This window comes from Homo sapiens, chromosome 13 (assembly GCF_000001405.40).
Source record: "Homo sapiens chromosome 13, GRCh38.p14 Primary Assembly".
Lineage (NCBI taxonomy): Eukaryota > Metazoa > Chordata > Mammalia > Primates > Hominidae > Homo > Homo sapiens.
The window spans coordinates 39,875,027-39,893,688 of record NC_000013.11 but is presented as its reverse complement, the minus strand read 5'-3'; the positions used below and the strand labels follow the sequence as shown (position 1 = coordinate 39,893,688).

At 39.6% G+C, this 18,662-nt stretch overlaps 1 annotated feature.

The window, feature by feature from the left end:
- Positions 523 to 817: an enhancer, noted in NCBI's record as "tiled region #6237; HepG2 Activating non-DNase unmatched - State 24:Quies, and K562 Activating non-DNase unmatched - State 24:Quies". NCBI's record gives its function as "activates a minimal TATA promoter and a strong SV40 promoter by Sharpr-MPRA in HepG2 and K562 cells {active_cell/tissue: HepG2 | K562}" and the evidence as "EXISTENCE:reporter gene assay evidence [ECO:0000049][PMID:27701403]".

The window sequence follows — 18,662 nt, the reverse complement described above, 5'->3', positions numbered from 1 at the left end:
AGGACTCCTGCGAAAACATCTGGAGATGATCATAAACTAAACCTTTTTAAATACTATTTTAGAGTAAATTAAATGACACCATATTATTTATCTGTCTTTGCCACTTGGCCTCAGGAGAAGCTGGTTTCGGAATGAGACTCCAAAGAGTGGATCTCAATGGGCAGCCTCCCAATGATTTTTTCCTCTCCTAGGATGATGTATTGGAAAGAAACACTGTGAGTCTCTGCATCCCAGAATGCGAAGTAGAGCCCCTCTGAAGAGGGACTCTGGTAGCAGTGAAGAGGTGGGGTGAAAGTTGGTTCCGGTGGGTAGAAGACCTTTCCCTGCACCTGAAGACCTACATTGTCGTGGGACAAGGGAAGAGATCATTACAACTGTAAAGAATTAACTTGCATGAATAGTGAGGCACTGGAGTGCAGTGAGCCCAAAAAAGGTTAAGCTTTCTTATTCACACACACACACACACGCACACACACACAGAGTGGGAAAAGATACCTGAGAAATGGACACTATTTTCCTAATGACTGCCAAGAGTTGACTGTGGACTCCTTCCATCAAATGGCCAGATAAGCAATGGGGCCCTTCCTAGCTAGGACTTGGAAGCATTTTGGTCAAAGGAATGGAAGGGCTGAGCCTGTTTTGCTGACTCCCACAGGAAGTGGTGGGCCGAGAGCACAGCTACAGGCTTTCCTGTGCAGCGTAAATTGGCCCAATGTGTGCAAAACATTCTTATCTGATAAAGAATGGAAGTGCGAGCGTGTGCTAAAATGTTGGAAATAATATGGGGTCTCTGCTTCACTCTTCCCTCATTTTTCTTTCTCTGTTGTCTCTTCTTCATCTTTGGCAGTCATACTGGGCTCTGGGTTCTTTTCTAGCTTCTCATATGGTTTTGATTAGGAGAGACAAATATAACACAGAACAGAGCTGATCTGAGTTCTTCCCTCTTCTTCTGGATGAATATGCTTAATTGTTAATCTTCTTGTATGTTTACATCAGGAATACACACACATACGCACAGACACACAGACAAACACACACACACACGTATATTCAACATAAAAGCATCCCTTTTTAGCCTATCCCTTTTTAAAAGATGTCAAGGAAAAAAAAGTATTAATATAAAACCAACTACACTTTGCTAAAAACTATTTCTTTTCCAGGAGGAATAAACTAAACCTGTAATCAGACATTTGATTTCCAGTCCTGGCTCAGCGTCTAACTAGCTGTGTGCCTTTAGACAATTTTCTTGAAGCTTTTGGTGTTAATTTTCTTATCTCTAAAGATGAAAAATTTGGATTAGGTAAACTCCCAAGTACCTCCCAGGAGGTGTTATGATTATCTTTGTGAGGTATATTGGTACCACATTTATGATAAAAGCTAAAATGGGTCTCTACATGCACACGAAAATGAAGGCAAAAATAGCAAAACAAAACAGGCATTTGTATGTATTTCTCTAATGAAATTTTTTAAATGGCCAAAAAGTAAAGTGTTTTGCAGTTTATTAGCACCATTTTACTAAGCACATAGGAGCAGCAGGAACACAGATTTCAGAGCCATGTACAATATCTGACACTTAGAATGCACATAGTAAATGTCTGCTGGAGGGTGTACTGCTCTAGCTGCAGACAGGGTAGCATAGCCTAGTGACAAGAGCACAGAATTTCTAATAGTAAGACTCAAGTCTCAGCCCCACTACTTACAGCTCTGTAATTAAGAACTAGCCTTTCTGAGCCTCAGTTTCCTCAACTGCACAATGGGATGAATTCCTGCACTTCAAATCTTGGGGTAAAATCAAATGACAAAATACGTATGAAAATGTTTCACAAAATGTTGAGTACTTGCAAATGTTCAATTTGTTCTGTCACTGTCCTAAAGATACATGTCTGTTTCCTTAAACTCAGTATTCATTGGGCACCTTTGCACACTGTGATAAACCGATAATTTTACCCCAAATTATAGCTGACTCATTCAACTTTAAACTGCAGGAAGTATACCTGGCCACTAAGATGAATGAACAAGAGAAATGAACACACCCATATAATTTTTTTAAATTACCCAGTAAATCCATCTCACCAGATGAGCTGAGAAGTCTTTGCTTTCCAAATTCTACAGCCTCTAGTAGGGTGCTAGAAGTCTTTCCATCCTAAACACGGCCAACTCAAGGCAGAGGCCTGAGGAGTTTGCCTCTTTTATCATCCTAAAATAGCTTTTGTCTGTGTGGCAAATTTTAAAAACTGTTTATTTGGAAATAATTTGAAACTTACAGACAGCTTGCTTAAAAATAAAATGTATAAACACAATTGAAATCCTCTACCCAGATTTACCTGACATTTTACCCATCTGCTTTATCATTTGCTATTCCATCTATCTATCTATCTATCTATCTATCTATCTATCTATCTATCTATGATTTATCATCAAATTTCTTTTCTGAGCCATTTGAAGTAAGTTACATATGTCATGGTCTTTTACCCTTAAATATTTCAGGGTTTATTTCCTAAGAATAGGGGCATTTTTATACATTACCAGAATACAGTTATCAACTTCTATAAATTTAATATTGATACATCTTAAGATATCTTTTGCAGGAACTACGGCTTCCATGAAAGACAGTGGGATAGCTGGGTGTCAGAATTCTGTTTCCGTTCTTGTCCTTGCTCTCCCACTCCAGAGTACTAAACATTGAACATTCGAGCCTTAGAATGTACATCAAGGAAGTTGGCCTCTGCGACCTGTAAAGTGACTTCTGGCTTTGAGCATTATTTGCTCTAAGACCAGGCTGCAGTTCTGTCCCTAGGCAAGTTCCCAGTTCCAGGCAACTTGGAGCAATATTTATTCGGTCTGCAGGTTTGGAGAGAGTGGCTAGGAGATTCATATAACCTCACTGTTGGCCCTACATTGCATCATGTGGGCCCTTCTGCAAAGACATTTATGGGCATAGTGAACTCATCTTGTTCACCGTTATCTGCTAAGACATTCCACCCCAGGGCTCAGTGTGCTGTTATCATCAAAAACACTGTAGTCCTGGCCAGGCAAGGTGGCTCCCACCTGTAATCCCAGCACTTTGGGAGGCTGAGGCTGGTGGATCACCTGAGGTCGGGAGTTTGAGACCAGCCTGACCAACATGGAGAAACCCCGTCTCTACTAAATATACAAAAAATTAGCCGGGTGTGGTGGCGCATGCCTGTAATCCCAGCTACTCGGGAGGATGAGGCAGGAGAATCGCTTGAACCTGGGAGGCAGAGGTTGCAGTGAGCCAAGATCGTGCCATTGCACTCCAGCCTGGGCAACAAGAGTGAAACTCCATCTCAAACAAAACAAAACAGAGCAACAACAACAAAAAAACACTGTGGTCCCAAAATATAAGACTTTTTTTTTCTAATATCAGTGTGTATGCATGCAATCTAGTGGAGAAGGGGGACAAACATTTGGTAGTAAGTAGCAAAAGATTTCAAGTTATGCATCTCATGTTTCACTCCAGTTGAGTGTCCCTTACTTTTATTTTACCATTTATTGAAAATAAGCAAATTGCTGGTAAAGTATCCTAAATTTGCAATGGAAAAATGACTGTTTACAGAGTCACCTGCAAATCTACATTACACAACGTGAAAGTTGGTTTATTATTGGAAAGTGTAGGGGAAGTGTCTTTACCTAAAGGATGTAAGGTCACAAGTGTTCTATCTTCTGATGCCTCGAATGTACCAATGCACATCTTCCCCGGCCAGCCTGGCAGTCAGACCTCTCAAAGAGAATGCAGGGAGTGTGAGTGCCCCTGACATGGAGGAGGTGCCCTGTCCACACTCTGGTAAATAAAAGGTTGTGAATGAGGGCAACTGCTTTGGCTTATAAAAATAAAAAAATTAAAAGGGCAGAGGAATTGAGCAAGGAACAAAAACTCCAGCTTACAATGAAAATATCTTTTGAAATTTGTGATATTCATTTTTATAATTTAGGATCAGTTTTTACCCATTGTTCTCTATTGCTTACCCCCAAAATGACTGTCAATATGATTATTCATCTCCCATGAGTCTGTGTGTCACCAGTACGGTAAGGGGTGTCTCTTCTATTTTTAGACACAAAGATTATCCAAGCAAAAGGGCACATTCCACTTCCATTCTGCTGAGGGCAGGCTACACCCTGGCACAGTTTTACTCCTAACCACACAAAGGCTTGTTTTGAGAGGGGAGTGAGCAGTGGGTTGAGGAAGGTTTCAGCGAATAAGAAGAAAAATATTTCTAGATTTAAACTTGAACAAAGTTAACGCTGATAGCAGAGTTAAATGACCTGCAAAATTCAAAAGTGCAGACAGGGCATTGCAATCCACACCCAGTGTTCCCTGAAGGCAAAGACTATGTCTCCCATGACCCACAAGGGTGAGATTGATTAGGAAAAACCCCAGAGGGCAGAATTGATCTTTGAGGATTAGCCAGTCTTTTGTTTAAGGGTTTAGTCAATATTTTAGTAGGGAAGTGGATGGTATCACAGGCGCTGATTAGCCTGAGTGGCATGTTTCCTCCCTGAGTTGCTCCTGATCAGGGATACCTGACCTCCAGGTAGACCATACCTGCTAACTTGCTGTCCCCACTCCTGTCCCCACTCCCCAGGTTTTCTTAAAAACCAAAACTACCTCCACCTGGAAAGGCAGGGCCATAAAGAGGCCATCAATGCCTTTGCCTGAGACCTACCTGTACCCTCTACCTTCAGAGATGAAAGGCTGAAATGCCACCCACACCCAGTGGCATGAAATTCACAAGTCTGTCATTTTGGCTGCAAGGTAGGACATCTTCTGGCAAATTTAATAAGCAGATTCTCTCAGTGATAGGAAATTATTGCTTAATGCAACTCTATTTCGCGTGTTTAAAGCATTTTGATAGCAGTAGTCACCTGACCTGGTGTGAAGTACAAATAGAAGTTTTCTTTCCTTTTTTTCAATCTTTTCTCTTTTAAACTTCCATTTTTTTAAGGGGGATGGGGAGGTCAGGCTTTATCTTTAATAGGCCCGGTTCATATAAAACAACTTGGGTTTGAATTGTGAAGCTGGTATGATATTAAATCTGATTTACAGAGTGGCCAGCACTTGCTTAACGTTAAGTGCTCCTCTTGTCATTGGCAGGTCTATGATCCCTATGCATGTGGCTAGTGATGGAGAGAGGCTGTTGCAAAGCTATGAAAGAGCAGAGGGTGGCTGGGCATGGTGGCTCACGCCTGTAATCCCAGCACTTTGGGAGGCTGAGGTGGGTGGATCATGAGGTCAGGAGTTCAAGACCATCCTGGCCAACATGGCGAAACCCCGTCTCTACTAAAAACACAAAAAATTAGCCAGGCGTGGTGGCACGCGCCTGTAGTCCCAGCTACTCAGGAGGCCGAGGCAGGAGAATTGCTTGAACCTGGGAGGCAGAGGCTGCAGTAAGCCAAGATGGCGCCACTGCACTCCAGTCCAGCCTGGCAACTCTGTCTCAAACCAAAGAAGAAAGAAAGAAAGAGAGAAAGAGAGAGAGAGAGAGAGAGAGAGCAAGAGCGAGCAGAGGGCAATAAATGGAACCTAAACCAAAGTGTGGAGTTACTTATTGTAGATAATGCAGGTTAAAAGCCAGTTCACATGCCAGGTACTTCTCAGAAATCGCAAGTCTCTACAGCTGATAGAAACCCAGACTTTCAGACCGAATTAATGTCCCTTCACCTCGGGTTGCATCACAAAAATTGAATCCTCATCTGCTCTTCCACTTCCTAGCCTGAAAAGATCACCTGTAAAGTGGGAACACGTGGCCCAACAGGTAAACCACCTCCCCAGCTGCTGTGCTAAGGCACAGTAATAGATTTGAGAGTGGTTTTAAAAGTTTAACATGTACAAATTCAGAAGTCTGCAGAAGCACAATTTTGAGTTTCACTACAAAAAGGGTATAACCTCAAAAGATCTCTTTTATTCTAATAGTCCAAGTAAACAAATGCCACAGGCATTTATGTGACTTCGCAGGTCTGCATTTCATCAGTTTGTCAGGAAGCTAAACAATGTACCTATTAAAAACCCATAAAAAAATTGGACGCTGTAATTCTGATTTTTATTTATAACTTAATTCCAGTGAGCTGGCACCAACCTTTTAAAGAGATTTTTTTTTTTTTTTTCAAAACAGAGTATGACTCTGAGTCAAAACCAAATTGATTCCAGCTTTCTCAGTTTATTCATTTCCTTTTGATTTTCTGCATCTTTTAGTGGCCCTGCTGTTGCTGCTCAATTATTATGCTGCTGATTCCCTACACACCCTTTTTTCCCTGAAGAGACTGTAAAAAGTGAAGGGACAACATCCAGTAGTTCAAAGTCAGTACTGGAGTGAGATGGACAGGACCCACATTTCAGCAAAAGAAGTTAATATATAATCAAAATAATAGTACTCTATTACCAGTGGGGAGGGGAGGGGGATAAAGATACCAAAGACTGTTTTATGAAGCCAGTCAGCTTTTATAAAATTTGTCAAATTTATGAAAATTGACTTTCTCAATTAGGGACCTTCCTTTTGACTCTCCTTGGATGCCAGAGCAAAAGGCCCTACATAGGAGAAACAGCCTAGGCTTTGTAATCTCAAACCTGAAATATCTGACTGACTTTACTCCTTACTTATATGTATGATTTTGATAAATTACTTCAATACTCTGAATATCAGTTTCTTTATATGTAAGAGGAAGACATTAGTATAATATATGTTTTAGGGTATTGCCCTAAAACATGTAATAGAATTCAAAAGATTCTACATTAAACACCTATCGTAGTGCTTGGCACATAGGACATTCCAAATAAAGATAAGTCACAATTGTTACTTTGTCAAATGCTTTTTTTTTGCATCAATTGAGATGATTATGTTTTGGGTTTGTTTTCCTTGGTTCTGTTAATGTGGTATATTTCTCTGATTTTCATTTATCAAACCATCTCCGCATTCTGAGAGTAAGTCCCACTTGGTCATGGTATATAAACCTTTTAATAACCAAATTTGGGTGCCAGTACTTTGTGGATAATTTTTGTATCAATATGCATAAGGGATATTTATCTGCAGTGGTTTTTTGTTTGTTGTAGTATCTGCTGGTTTTGCTGTCAGGATAATGCTGGCTTCATAAAATGAGTTGGGAAATGTTCCCTCCTCTGCAATTTTTTGGAAACATTGAGGATTGTTGTTAATTCCTTAAATGTTTGTAATTTACCAGTGAAGCCATCTGGCTCAGGACTTTTCTTTATTGGAAGGTTTTTGATTACTCATTTAATCTACTTGCTAGCTATAGGTCTACTCATATTTTCTAGTTCTTCATAATTTAATTTTTGTAGTTGTGTATTTCTAGAAATTTGTGTATTTTATTAAGGTTAGACAATTTTTTGTCTTACTAATGTTCATAGCATTGTCTTAATTTTTTATTTCTACAACATCAATAGTAATATCTCACTTTGCTTTCTCATTTTTGAGTCACTTTTTTTTTATTAGTTTATTAGTCAGTCTGGTTACAGGTTTGTCAATTTTGTTAATCTGTTCAAAGAACCAACTTTTAGTTTCACTGGTTTTTCTCTACTGTTTTTCTATTCCCTATTTTGTTTATCTCTCCACTGATCTATTATTTCCTTCATTTTTCAAACTTTAGGTTTAGTTTGTTTCTCTTTTTCTAGTTCTGTAAGAGGAAATTTAGGTTTTTTTTTTTTTAGATCTTTCTTCTTTTTTTAATATAAGCATTTATAGTTAGAAATTTCCCTCTTAATACTGCTTTTGCTGCATCCCATTTCTCTAGTTAATTTCTAATTTCCCTTGTGATTTCTTCTTTGATCCATTGATTGTTTAAGAGTATGTTATTTAATTTCCAAATATTTGTGTATTTTTCAGGTATTCTGTTATTGAGTACTAGCTTTATTGTAATCAGAAAAGTACTTTATATAATTTCAATCTTTGAAATTTATGAAGATTTGTTTTGCGGCCTACTATATTGTCTATTCTGGGTAATGTTCCATGTGCAATTGAGAACAATGTATTCTGCTGTTGTTAGGTGGAGTGTTATCTACATGTCTGTCAGGTGTATTTAGTCTATAATGTTCTTCAAGTCCACCATTTCCTTATTCATCTTCTCTCTTGTTGTTCTATCCATTATTGAAATTGGAGCATTGAAGTCTCTTAGTGTTATCTTTGAGCTGTCTATTTAATCCCTCTAATTTTATCAATGTTTGCCTGAAATATTTTGGATCATTGATGTTTGGTGCATACACATTTATAATTTTTACAACTTATTCATAAATTGACCCTTTAATCAACACATAGTATCCTTCTTTGTCTTTATAACAGCTTTTTACCTAAAGTCTATTTTGTCTGATATTATTACCTCAGTTCTCTTTTGGTTGGTTACTTTTAGCTGGAATATCTTTTCATATCCTTTTACTTTTGATCTATCTTTATATCTGAAGTGAATCTCTTGTCAACAGCGTATAGTTCTAATATTTTAAAATTCATTCTGCCAATCTATGCCTTTTTATTGAAGAGTTTAATCCATTAATATCTAACATAATTACTGATAAGAATGGACTTGCTTTTGCATTTTATTGTGTTTTCTACATGTCTTGAAGCTTTTTTGTTACTTATTTCCTCTATTACTGTGTCTACTGTGTTGAGTTTTTGTAGTGACACCCTTCTCATTTATTTTTGTATATACTTACATATATTTTCCTTGTTGTTACTATTGAAATTACATATAACATCCTAAAGTTATAACCATATAATTTAAATGGATATCAACTTGACTTCAATCATATTTAAAAACTACTCACATAAAGCTCCACCCCACCTCATGTTATTAATGTTATAATATTAATCTTCATACATTGTATATCCACTAAAAGATTTATGATTACATATTATGCATTCATCTTATAAATCATGTAAAAACTAAAGAATGGAGTTAAAACCAAAATTACAACACTAGTGGTGTTTATATTTGCTCACATATTTACCTTTAACAGAGATCTTTATATCTTCATCTGACATTGAGTTACTGTCTAGCGTCATTTCCTTTTCATTTGAACAACTCCCTTTAGCATTTCTCATAAGACAAGTCTAGTGGTAGTGAGCTCCCTCAGTTTTTATTTGTCCAGGAATATCTTAATTTCTCCCTCATTTTTAAAGGACAGTTTGGCTGGGTTGAGAATTCTCAGGGACAGTTTTGTGTGTGTTTTGGGCTGGGGGTGTCATTCAGTACATTAAATGTATCATCTCACAGCCTTGTGATCTCCATGGCTTCTGTTGAGAAATTGGGAAATAATCTTATTAAGGGTCCCCTATATGTGATAAGTTGCTTCTCTCTTAATGCTTTTAAGATTGTCTCCAGCTTTGCCTTTCAACAGTTTGACTATAATGTGTCTTCTTATAAGTCTCTTTTGGTTTATCCTACTTGGAATTCATTGATCTTGGATTTTTAGGCTTGCATATTTGATAAAATTAGGGATGTTTTGGTCATTATTTTAACAAATAAAGTCTTTGCCATTTTCTTTCTCTTTCTGTGACGTCCATAATGCACATATTGGTCCTCTTGATGGCATCCCATAAGCCCTTTAGTCTCTGTTCACTTTTCGTCCTTTTTCTTTCTGCTCTTCAGAGTCAATAACTTCAAATAACCTATCTTCAAATTCTCTGATTATTTTTTGGGCTAGCTGAGATTTGCTTTTGAGCCCCACTAGTGAATTTTTCATTTCAGTTATTGTATTTTTTAGCTCCAGAATTTCTGTTTGGTTCTCTTTTATAATTCTAATCTCTTTGTTGATATTCTCATTTTTATATATCATTTTCAAGATTTTCTTTACTTCTTTTTTCATGTTTTCCCTTGGCATTTTGAGCATACAGAAGAGAGTTGTTTTAAAGTAAGTCCAATGTCCGAGCTTTCTCAGGGATAGTTTTTGTCATTTCATTTTATCCATTTAAATGAGTCATATTTTTCTGTATGGATTTTTTTTGTAAACTTAGTGATTTTATGTTGTTGAATATTGGGCATTTGATAATAATAATGTGGTCTTTCTGGAAATCAGATTATCCCCCTCCCCAGAGTTTGCTGTTTTGATTTTGATTGCTGAAGGCTATAGCAGTCCATTTGTTCTGAGATTTTTTTTTCAAACATTTTTTGCAAAGGCTATTTCTTGTCATGTGTGCTCAGTGAAGCATGTGTTCCTCTAGCTTATGTTCAGCTATGTTTTGATAGATTTCCTTGAGTCCCAGGAGCTAAAACAAAATTTTAAAAGTACCAGAGAGACGGGGTGGGGGTGGGGAGGACAAAGCACCTCTCAGGCTTTTCAGACCCAGCTGTATGCTTGGGGAATCCTTTAGCACTCAGGCTTGTTCTGAGCCTGGATATCAGTCTTGGGTGAACATCTAAGGTCTCCTTAGAATTTTTTTAAGCATGTATCTTACCTAGCCATGTACATGGCTTCCTAGATTCCCCCATATAAACAGCTGCTTTTGAATGTCCTAATTTCCCAAAAAGTCTCACCCCAGCTTCTCTTTCAAGCCTTAGTTGGACTATCATATGTCTTCAGCAAGACTCTCTTGACTCAGCCAATCAGTGGGTTTGTAGCCCCCTTGTACCTTTTCTGAACAGTACTCATTGCTTCTCTTGCATGTTTTCTGAGTTATGTAAGACAGAGAAGAGCAAGTCAGTTTTTCAGGTATCCCCAGGCAGGTTGGAACAGACACACATAATAATCTGCAAAGGAGGTCTACTCTCTCCTTCTGGTTCAAAGAAAGGAACTGGGAACTGGGTTGCTGCTGCTCAAGACCAAGACTGTTTCCACCAGGAGAAAGGAGTGGGGCAAAGGAGGGTAAAACACCACACAACTTCACTGACATTTAGAAGATGACCTTTTCTTGATTGGCTGTTTGCTTGGTTGCTGTAAACCTTTGATTGTTTTCTAAAACTTCCATAAATTTGGTTCACACAGCCTCTGGTTGATTTGGGGTTTGTTTGTTTTAAATACTTTTTTGAGAGAACACACGAGTTTGGAGCTTCCTAGTCCACAATTTTGCTAATGTCCCATCATTATTATTTTAAGTGGATTTACCACATACCAAAAACTGTACAGAGCTTAGTATTTCCCCTTTGCCCTGCAGACCCACTCTCACCCTCTATGTCCTACTGTGTCCCTTGTAGGCTGATCTGTACAGGCTGTACCAGTGGGCTCCCTGCTCCAGTGAAAGGAAAGGGCGTCTGTGCATTCCCTTCCTGCAGTGTGCACAGATTGGCTATGTTTTCCATCAAATGCCACAGCCTCTCTCCAGTAACATTCTACCTATGGTTACCCTCTCTGAGATCTGGAACTGGCACACTTCTCTTCAGATTCAAGAGCAATAAAGAGCTCATGCATCATTATCAGTTTCTGCCATTTTAGCCCAGGGTCTTTCAACATCCCTCTTACATGCCCTTACATCTTCCCATCCTGTTTTAAATCGCTCTTTTATTAACATTTATCCCTGAGTAACAGTTTGAGAATGCCATCTGTTTCCTGCTGGAACTCTGATGGACACACTGCACCATTGGCTGCTATTGCTCTTTCAGAGAAATGCATCTGATTCTGGAGAAATGTGCTTGGATACTAGCAGATTCTGGAGACTACTTTATGTCAAGAGATAGGAATTCATTTCCCTGAATGAATTTATAGCATTCATCAGGGTTGGTAGTCAGCTTGGGGCTCAGAAAATGTCTGTTAGTGAACACATAGCCTTGGTCATACCCTGTAATCTGAAACATGAACCAATTTATGGCTTAAATACTACAGGGCAAGATTGTTCTCCCTTCATGTGCGGGCAGTGCAGAGCAGCAATTTCTCATCACAGTGGCCTGTCCCAGCAGTGGCCTGTCCTGCCTTCCCCCAAATTGAGAAAGCTAGTGCGTCCTGTGTCCAGACGAGCTGTCCATAAGGTAAGATCAAACACTAATTGTTCTCTCTTGAATTCATCCTTCTCACTATTGACATCCTTTTTTAAGCACAAACGAAGCCACTCCTTTGCCAGAAAGCACCAGTGGCTGACTTTGACAAGACCAGGATGACAAATACTCAACATGTGAGCTGTCACTCCTGCTCTCACCTCCATGGCATGCTCACCCTCTAAAGCTGCTTTCAGTCTTGGACACCTTCACCTTCCAGCTCTCCAGATAGCCACTATTTATAGTGTTCTCCACTCAATATAAATGTCTTTTACCACCTTGCTCTTCAAAATATGATGTGCTTCAAATTCAAAAGCATAGCATTATACAATGTGGTCCCAAATCATCTAGGCAAGCATCTTAGCACTTCTCTCCTATTCTTTTGTGCCATATCTTTAACACTTTGCACTAGTCATAGCACATATTGGGTATTCTAAATATATGTTAGACCAACATTTATACAGTCCTATGAATTAAAGTTCTCTGTGTTACACCCATGAACATGCAACATTTAAATCTGGAGCTAACCATAGTTTGAGTCAAATATGTTTGATGTATTGCAATAACACCAGATAATATTTGTAAATTAGCTTAGAACATTTGTTCATACATTTATTTGTACAATTTAAAGAGTAGAAAAGTTCTATTAGATGAAAGTTCAGAAATATTTTCCTTACAGAGTAAAAGCTACGAATTCAGCTTGATGTGCCTTCAACTGGTCTTTTCAAGCAAAGGGCCTGATGACATTGGTTTTCTCACAAGTGAGGGGACATAACTTTCACATGTGAGATTGACTGTTGTTTTCACTGTAGCTCAACTATCTGGACTGTAGCTTATTGTGTCTGAGACAAGGCCCAAAGCAAATCACAAATTATTGTCATTCTCCCAATTTTACCTCTCCTTGGAAAAACCAATTACATCATTTATCTGCTGACTCTTTTTTGGTGTAAGCTTATTAACACTAATTTACTGAATTTGCATTAGAATTTCAAATTTAGTTGCTTTAACAGAAGAGTAAAACAAAACCACTATTTTTTAAAATAGCGCTAAAATTTTTAAGTGTGTTTCGAGAAAAGAAATTGAATTCCAAATATAGACAACTCCTACTTATTAATGCCAATAGGGAGCATGGCAAGTTGATAGTCAGATGAATTTCTGTCCAGCAATATTTACTGAGAGACTGCTGTGTCAGAAGAGGCTGAAGACTGGAGAAGGTTGAAGGTCAAGGGAGGCCACTGCCCATCCTCCCACAGCATGCAGGCTCCTGGGGATAGAAGATGTACACAAATTGTTGTAAATGTCGTAACTCAATTATTAATTTTAAACTGAACTCTTTAGATAATATTTTCACGCACTGTTTATGGAGCATTTGTTGTGTGATGAGCAATCATTATTTTTCATGTCTTATGTCATTTAGTTCTCATGATAATTTTACGAAGTAGATTTTATTACTTATTCCACTTTAAAGATGGGGAAACTGAAGTTCAGAAAGTATGGATAATGCAAAGTTTAATTCACTAGTAAGCCAATGCTCACAAAGAGCCAGAATTTTGGAGTTATATTTTTAGACGGACACACTTTGAAAACATTAAAACTTAAGAGTACAAATCATTCAAACACTTAACTATCAGTTCCTGGATAACTCAAGATATTCCAAATACATAGTAGTTGGTAGCTGACAACCTAAAAGCTAGTTTTGTTCTGAGTAATTTATTTACCAAAATCTTTTTTACACAAATAAACTCCCTGGAAAATATTTTCAAAATCATTTCTAAAGCCGCAAAAACAAATTTAGACCTAGAAAAAATAGATTGTAGATTTTGATCTCAGCACAGGATTTATCTTTATAAATAACCCAGGGTGGTATGTGGATGTGTGGCTGAAAGTGATAAGATTATAGAATATCAACTAGAAACACAGTCACAATAGTGGAGTCTGGGGGAATTTGGCACAATTGAAATAGCTTTATTATTGTTGTTGTTTTAACATATTTTGAAAGTGGAAACAGTGGGCTAAGACGGAAAAATACTTTTCTTATGAGAGACTTTGATTTCTCTGTAACTTCCAAAATAGGAAGCAAACTGTGGAATCCAATTACTTCCACTAAGAAATTACAATTGCTAAAATTTGAGGAAACATACCTCTCTTTCAGTGCAGTGTTTCTAGGTGCCATAGAATGTGACCCTGAAAGCAGCTTTCACAATTTGAGACTCTGGGTTTAGCTACAGAAGGGTTCCAGGACTTGAGTCTCATATCTACTCTTATTTGCAGAGAGTCCAGAAATGTGTCGACAGACACAGCTGAACAAAATCTGAATGTCCTTCCAAGAGCTCCCTGCACAAATGTCCTGCACAAATACAAAAAAGCAGAGGGAACTTCTCTAAGAAGATGGCTCAAGAATCCCACAACCACAATTTCCTTGGTCAGGGAAACTGCTCTTTTGTACGAAGCAGTGGGCCAGAAGGTATTTCAGAATCTTTGGAAAGAAAGAAAATCGAGGAACTTGAGTTGCGTATATAAAGTCTTGGGTTTTTAGTCCAGGGTTCTAGAACACCCCGGCAGTTTGTGCTTGTGCTTTGTGCATTAGGGGGAGAAATGAGAGAGTCAGAGATTGCTTTAGTTTGGCAGGTGACATAGCTTGGTGTTGAAGCAAACCCACTTGAGAACTAGGCAATGCAAGTTCAAGTAGTGAAAACTCTTAAACCTAGAAAAAAGGCAATTGTGAATTTTAATCTTGGAACAGGATTTATTTAATAGGATTTACTCAGTTTGTGTACGTGTGTGTGTGTGTCCCAAAGTACAAAGATAATAGAATACTAACCAGAAACACAAATTCAAAAGTTCAAGTTCTGCCATTTACCAGCTACATACCCTTGAAATTTTACTTCATTTTTGCCAGCCTTAGTTTCTTCATCTGTAAATCCAAGATGATGAAAGTACTTACTTCACAGGCTTCTTGTGAGGAGTAAGTGAAGTTAGTGTTTAACACTGTGCCTGGCACTTAGTAAGCATTTCATCTCATTAGATATTACTATTATCGGCTGGGCATGGTGGCTCACGCCTGTAATCCCAGCACTTTGAGAGGCCGAGGTGGGTGGATCACCTGAGGTCCAGAGTTCAAAACCAGCCTGGGCAACATGGTGAAACCCTGTCTCTAACTAAAATACAAAAATTAGCCAGGTATGATAGCTAGCGCATGCTTGTAATCCCAGCTGCTCGTGGCTAAGGCAGGAGAATCACTGGAACCCAGGAGGGTTGCAGTGAGCCAATATCACACCACTGCACTCCAGCCCGGGCAACAGAGCAAGACTCCATCTGAAAAAAAAAAAAAAGAAAGAAAGAAAAAAGAAAAAAAAATATATTGCCATTATCAGCACAGAGCTGCTTCGAATAGTCATACAAATCTAACCTTTAACCAGCCATGACTTGCTGAGTCTTTAAAAAATTAGTCCGTCTTTCCCTCCTTCTCCTCTCTAGCTATTTCCTTTTCTTCTTTTTGCTTTTTCTTTCTTTTTTTTTTTTTTTTGAGATAGAGTTTTGCTCTCGTCACCCAGGCTGGAATGCAATGGCACGATCTCGGCTCACTGCAACCTCTGCCTCCCGGGTTCAAGTGATTCCCCTGCCTCAGCCTCCCAAGTAGCTGGGATTACAAGCACGTGCCACCATGCCCAGCTAATTTTTGTATTTTTAGTAGAGACGGGGTTTCACCATGTTGGCCAGGCTGGTCTTGAACTCCTGGCCTCCAGCTATCCACCCGCCTTGGCATCCCAAAATGCTGGGATTACGGGCATGAGCCACCGCTCCCAGCCCCTAGCTATTTTCTAACATTGAAGAGCTCACCTGGGAGGTCAATAAAGTCTCATTTCAGAGAACAAAAATAAGCGTGTCCCCTCTACTAGGTTCCTTCTTGTGCATTCTCAAAAGACCCTCCCCTACAATCCCACTTGACTTCTCCAGGGATGACCCAAACCCAGCTTGTCAGTTGGTACTACAGGTTCCAATCAAAGAAAAATGTAAAACCTCCTGGGGCAGTTTCCAGAGGGCAGGCAAATCTCTTTGTGTGATTCCCAGCTTTTGTGGTGAGGGGCAGTGAAGACGGCCATCGGGCATGGCAAAGAGGGGAAGGTGGGGAGAAACTCCAAAAGCAGGGTCAGAGACTGGCTTGATGCTGGGCCTGGAACGATGTAATCTGTTCCCGATGTGAGAGAGGCAGGCTGGGTAAGCAAGAGAAAGTGTAAGGTACCATCTGTTCTAGACTTCTGAAGATTTTCATTACATTCAGATCAACTTGATAAGACACCCCAATCTACACCAGCATTTTTCAAATAGGGTTTTCAAGAGCTTTCTGAGGACTGCAGAAAGCAGAGCTGTGGAACTTGGCAGGAGATTTAGCACGACTTCCTGCTGGAGCCAGGTCAGCATCTTCAGCGCCGTTCCCCTGGCGCCTCAGCCCTATACACTATCTGACCTTTCTGCACTTTCTTTCCTCCACGCCCTTCTGTCATCTTATCTCCACTGCACCTCCTTATTGGAAAAGGATTCTTACCTAGGTTGTTACAGGGGCCTATCCTTTAATCAGGATGTTCACAAGGGGTTTCAAAATCACCCTGATGGAACTGAACTATACACCAGGGTGGTTCCTCCCCGACTTCTTTCTTCTCTACCTTTCTTTCTTCCTCCCTTCTTTCTTCCTTCTTTTCTTCCTTTTTCCTCCCTCCTCCCCTTCCTCTTTCCTTCTTTTCCTCCCTCCCTCCCTCCTTCCCTCCCTCCATCCCTTCCTTCCCTCCTTGTGTATTTACTGACTGTCTGCTATATCCCTGGCACTAAGCCTCTGTTAATTACATACACTTAGGCCAGGCTCTTGAATTTGCAGACAACAGCAAATCCCGTTAAGTTGCCAACACTTGAAAGAGAAGAACATTTATAGATGTGTTGAATAAATGCACTCCAACTAATGAGAAAGCTTATAAAATTATTTGGATTCATGTAAGTTTAGATTTAAGGTAGCACAAGAGCAAACAGCAAACCACTGGGAGAGGTGAAATGAGATTGATAGGGAAAAATAGATCAGCAAACCAAATCAGATATATTTGTTAAGCACCTTCCATTCATCCTGACCTGTGCCAGGGACTATGGGAGATGGGAGGAAAGTAGAAAAGATGCTTTGAGGAGGTGTCTTGAGACAGATGTCATTAGGAACCACTGACCAATAACACTATGCGTGGATTCCCCAGGGAATCCATAGGCCTGTGGCTATGAAATGGCCACAACCACAGCAGAAGTTTAGCAGTTGCTTAGGAAGACGTAAATTCCCAGCTGTGACTCACCGTGTGTCAAGGAGGATTTTTCTGACATCAGTTTCCAAGCAGCTCACCCAGACTTTCTTACCCAAGAGGGTACCAGACCATGATGCCACTGGAGTTGCATTTTTTTAATTTATTTATTTTATTTTCCAAAGGGCCATTTGAACCAAGAGTGACCTGTGGCCCCTGGAAACTCTAAGCAGTGGTTTGGCATCTTGAGAATCTGTCATGCTTTGTGGAAGGGTCTAGTCCTGTCTGGAAAACAAAACTGGTGATATTTAATGTGAAAGTGTAATCCTACTGTCTCTCTCCTGATAAATGCTCAAAACTCAAGTATAAAAGCAATGAATTCCCCTTGGATATCTAAATGTAGCACTTAAAATCAATTTGATTTTATCTGAATTCTGTTAACATTGGATTATAGATGCACGGTTGCAGGCTTTGAGTGTTTTCAAGTTCTCGATATTTTAATTTTTTCCATACCCACATTGTTTTAAATGTGAGGCCTAATGTCTTCCAGCCCTAGGCTTGCAAATCCATGTTCATCTCTGTGACTGACCCCATAATATTTACTTATAACGTTCATAAAAATACCCTGCATGCCAAAAGCTGTTAGCTGCAGGAAGATGATAAAATATAAAAATATTTAATCAGCCAGTGGGAATTCCCTTACATGTTAAATCAAAGGCTCTCTCAGAGGACCCACGGTGACCTCGGAAGGCCAGAGGGTTCAGCCGCACTGTGCGGCAGCAGGAGGGAATGCCTGCAGAAAACCCACCCTGTTCAGGGCCCCTTCATGTCCTCCAGAAAACACAGCCCTAAGGAGATGCTCGGCTTCACTGCCAAGGGACTCAGGGGCCGGCATGTGCAGGCTCTGTACGGCTTTTCCACTGAGGTTTGTGTAGCTTGTCCCATCTCTCTCAGGGCTATCTCACCATGTAACATGTGCTCTGTTCCTCTTCCTCCCAACCCCCAGGACTCAGTGTTTCTCAAAAAGGAGCACCACAGAGGCTTTCTAAGGAAGAAGTGCTAGAGAAATCATACAGGGAGTGATGGGGAGGGAAAAATATCCCAGGGAAAGGAGTGCTGGATCCAGCCCTGTCTTTGCTGCCACATGTGTTGAGCAAGTCATTGCACATCTCTGGAAGTTGGATGGATCTGTGGTTTTCAGCCCTAATGGTTCCAAGAGGTATCCCTAGGTTACAGAGAGGATGACAAGGGGCCGCTGGGTTTTTATACTCCTTCCCCCTTGCCCCACTCCTTATGTCAGTCAGCTCAGCAGTAATCAGTTTTTTGTTCTGGATTACACATAACATTTAACTCACAAAAAGTGTCTGCTGTTAAAAAGAAAAGTTTAAAAACCAGTGGAACAACGAAAAAGTCCTATTTAATATAAACATAATTTGAGGCTCAATAATATCCCGGACTCCA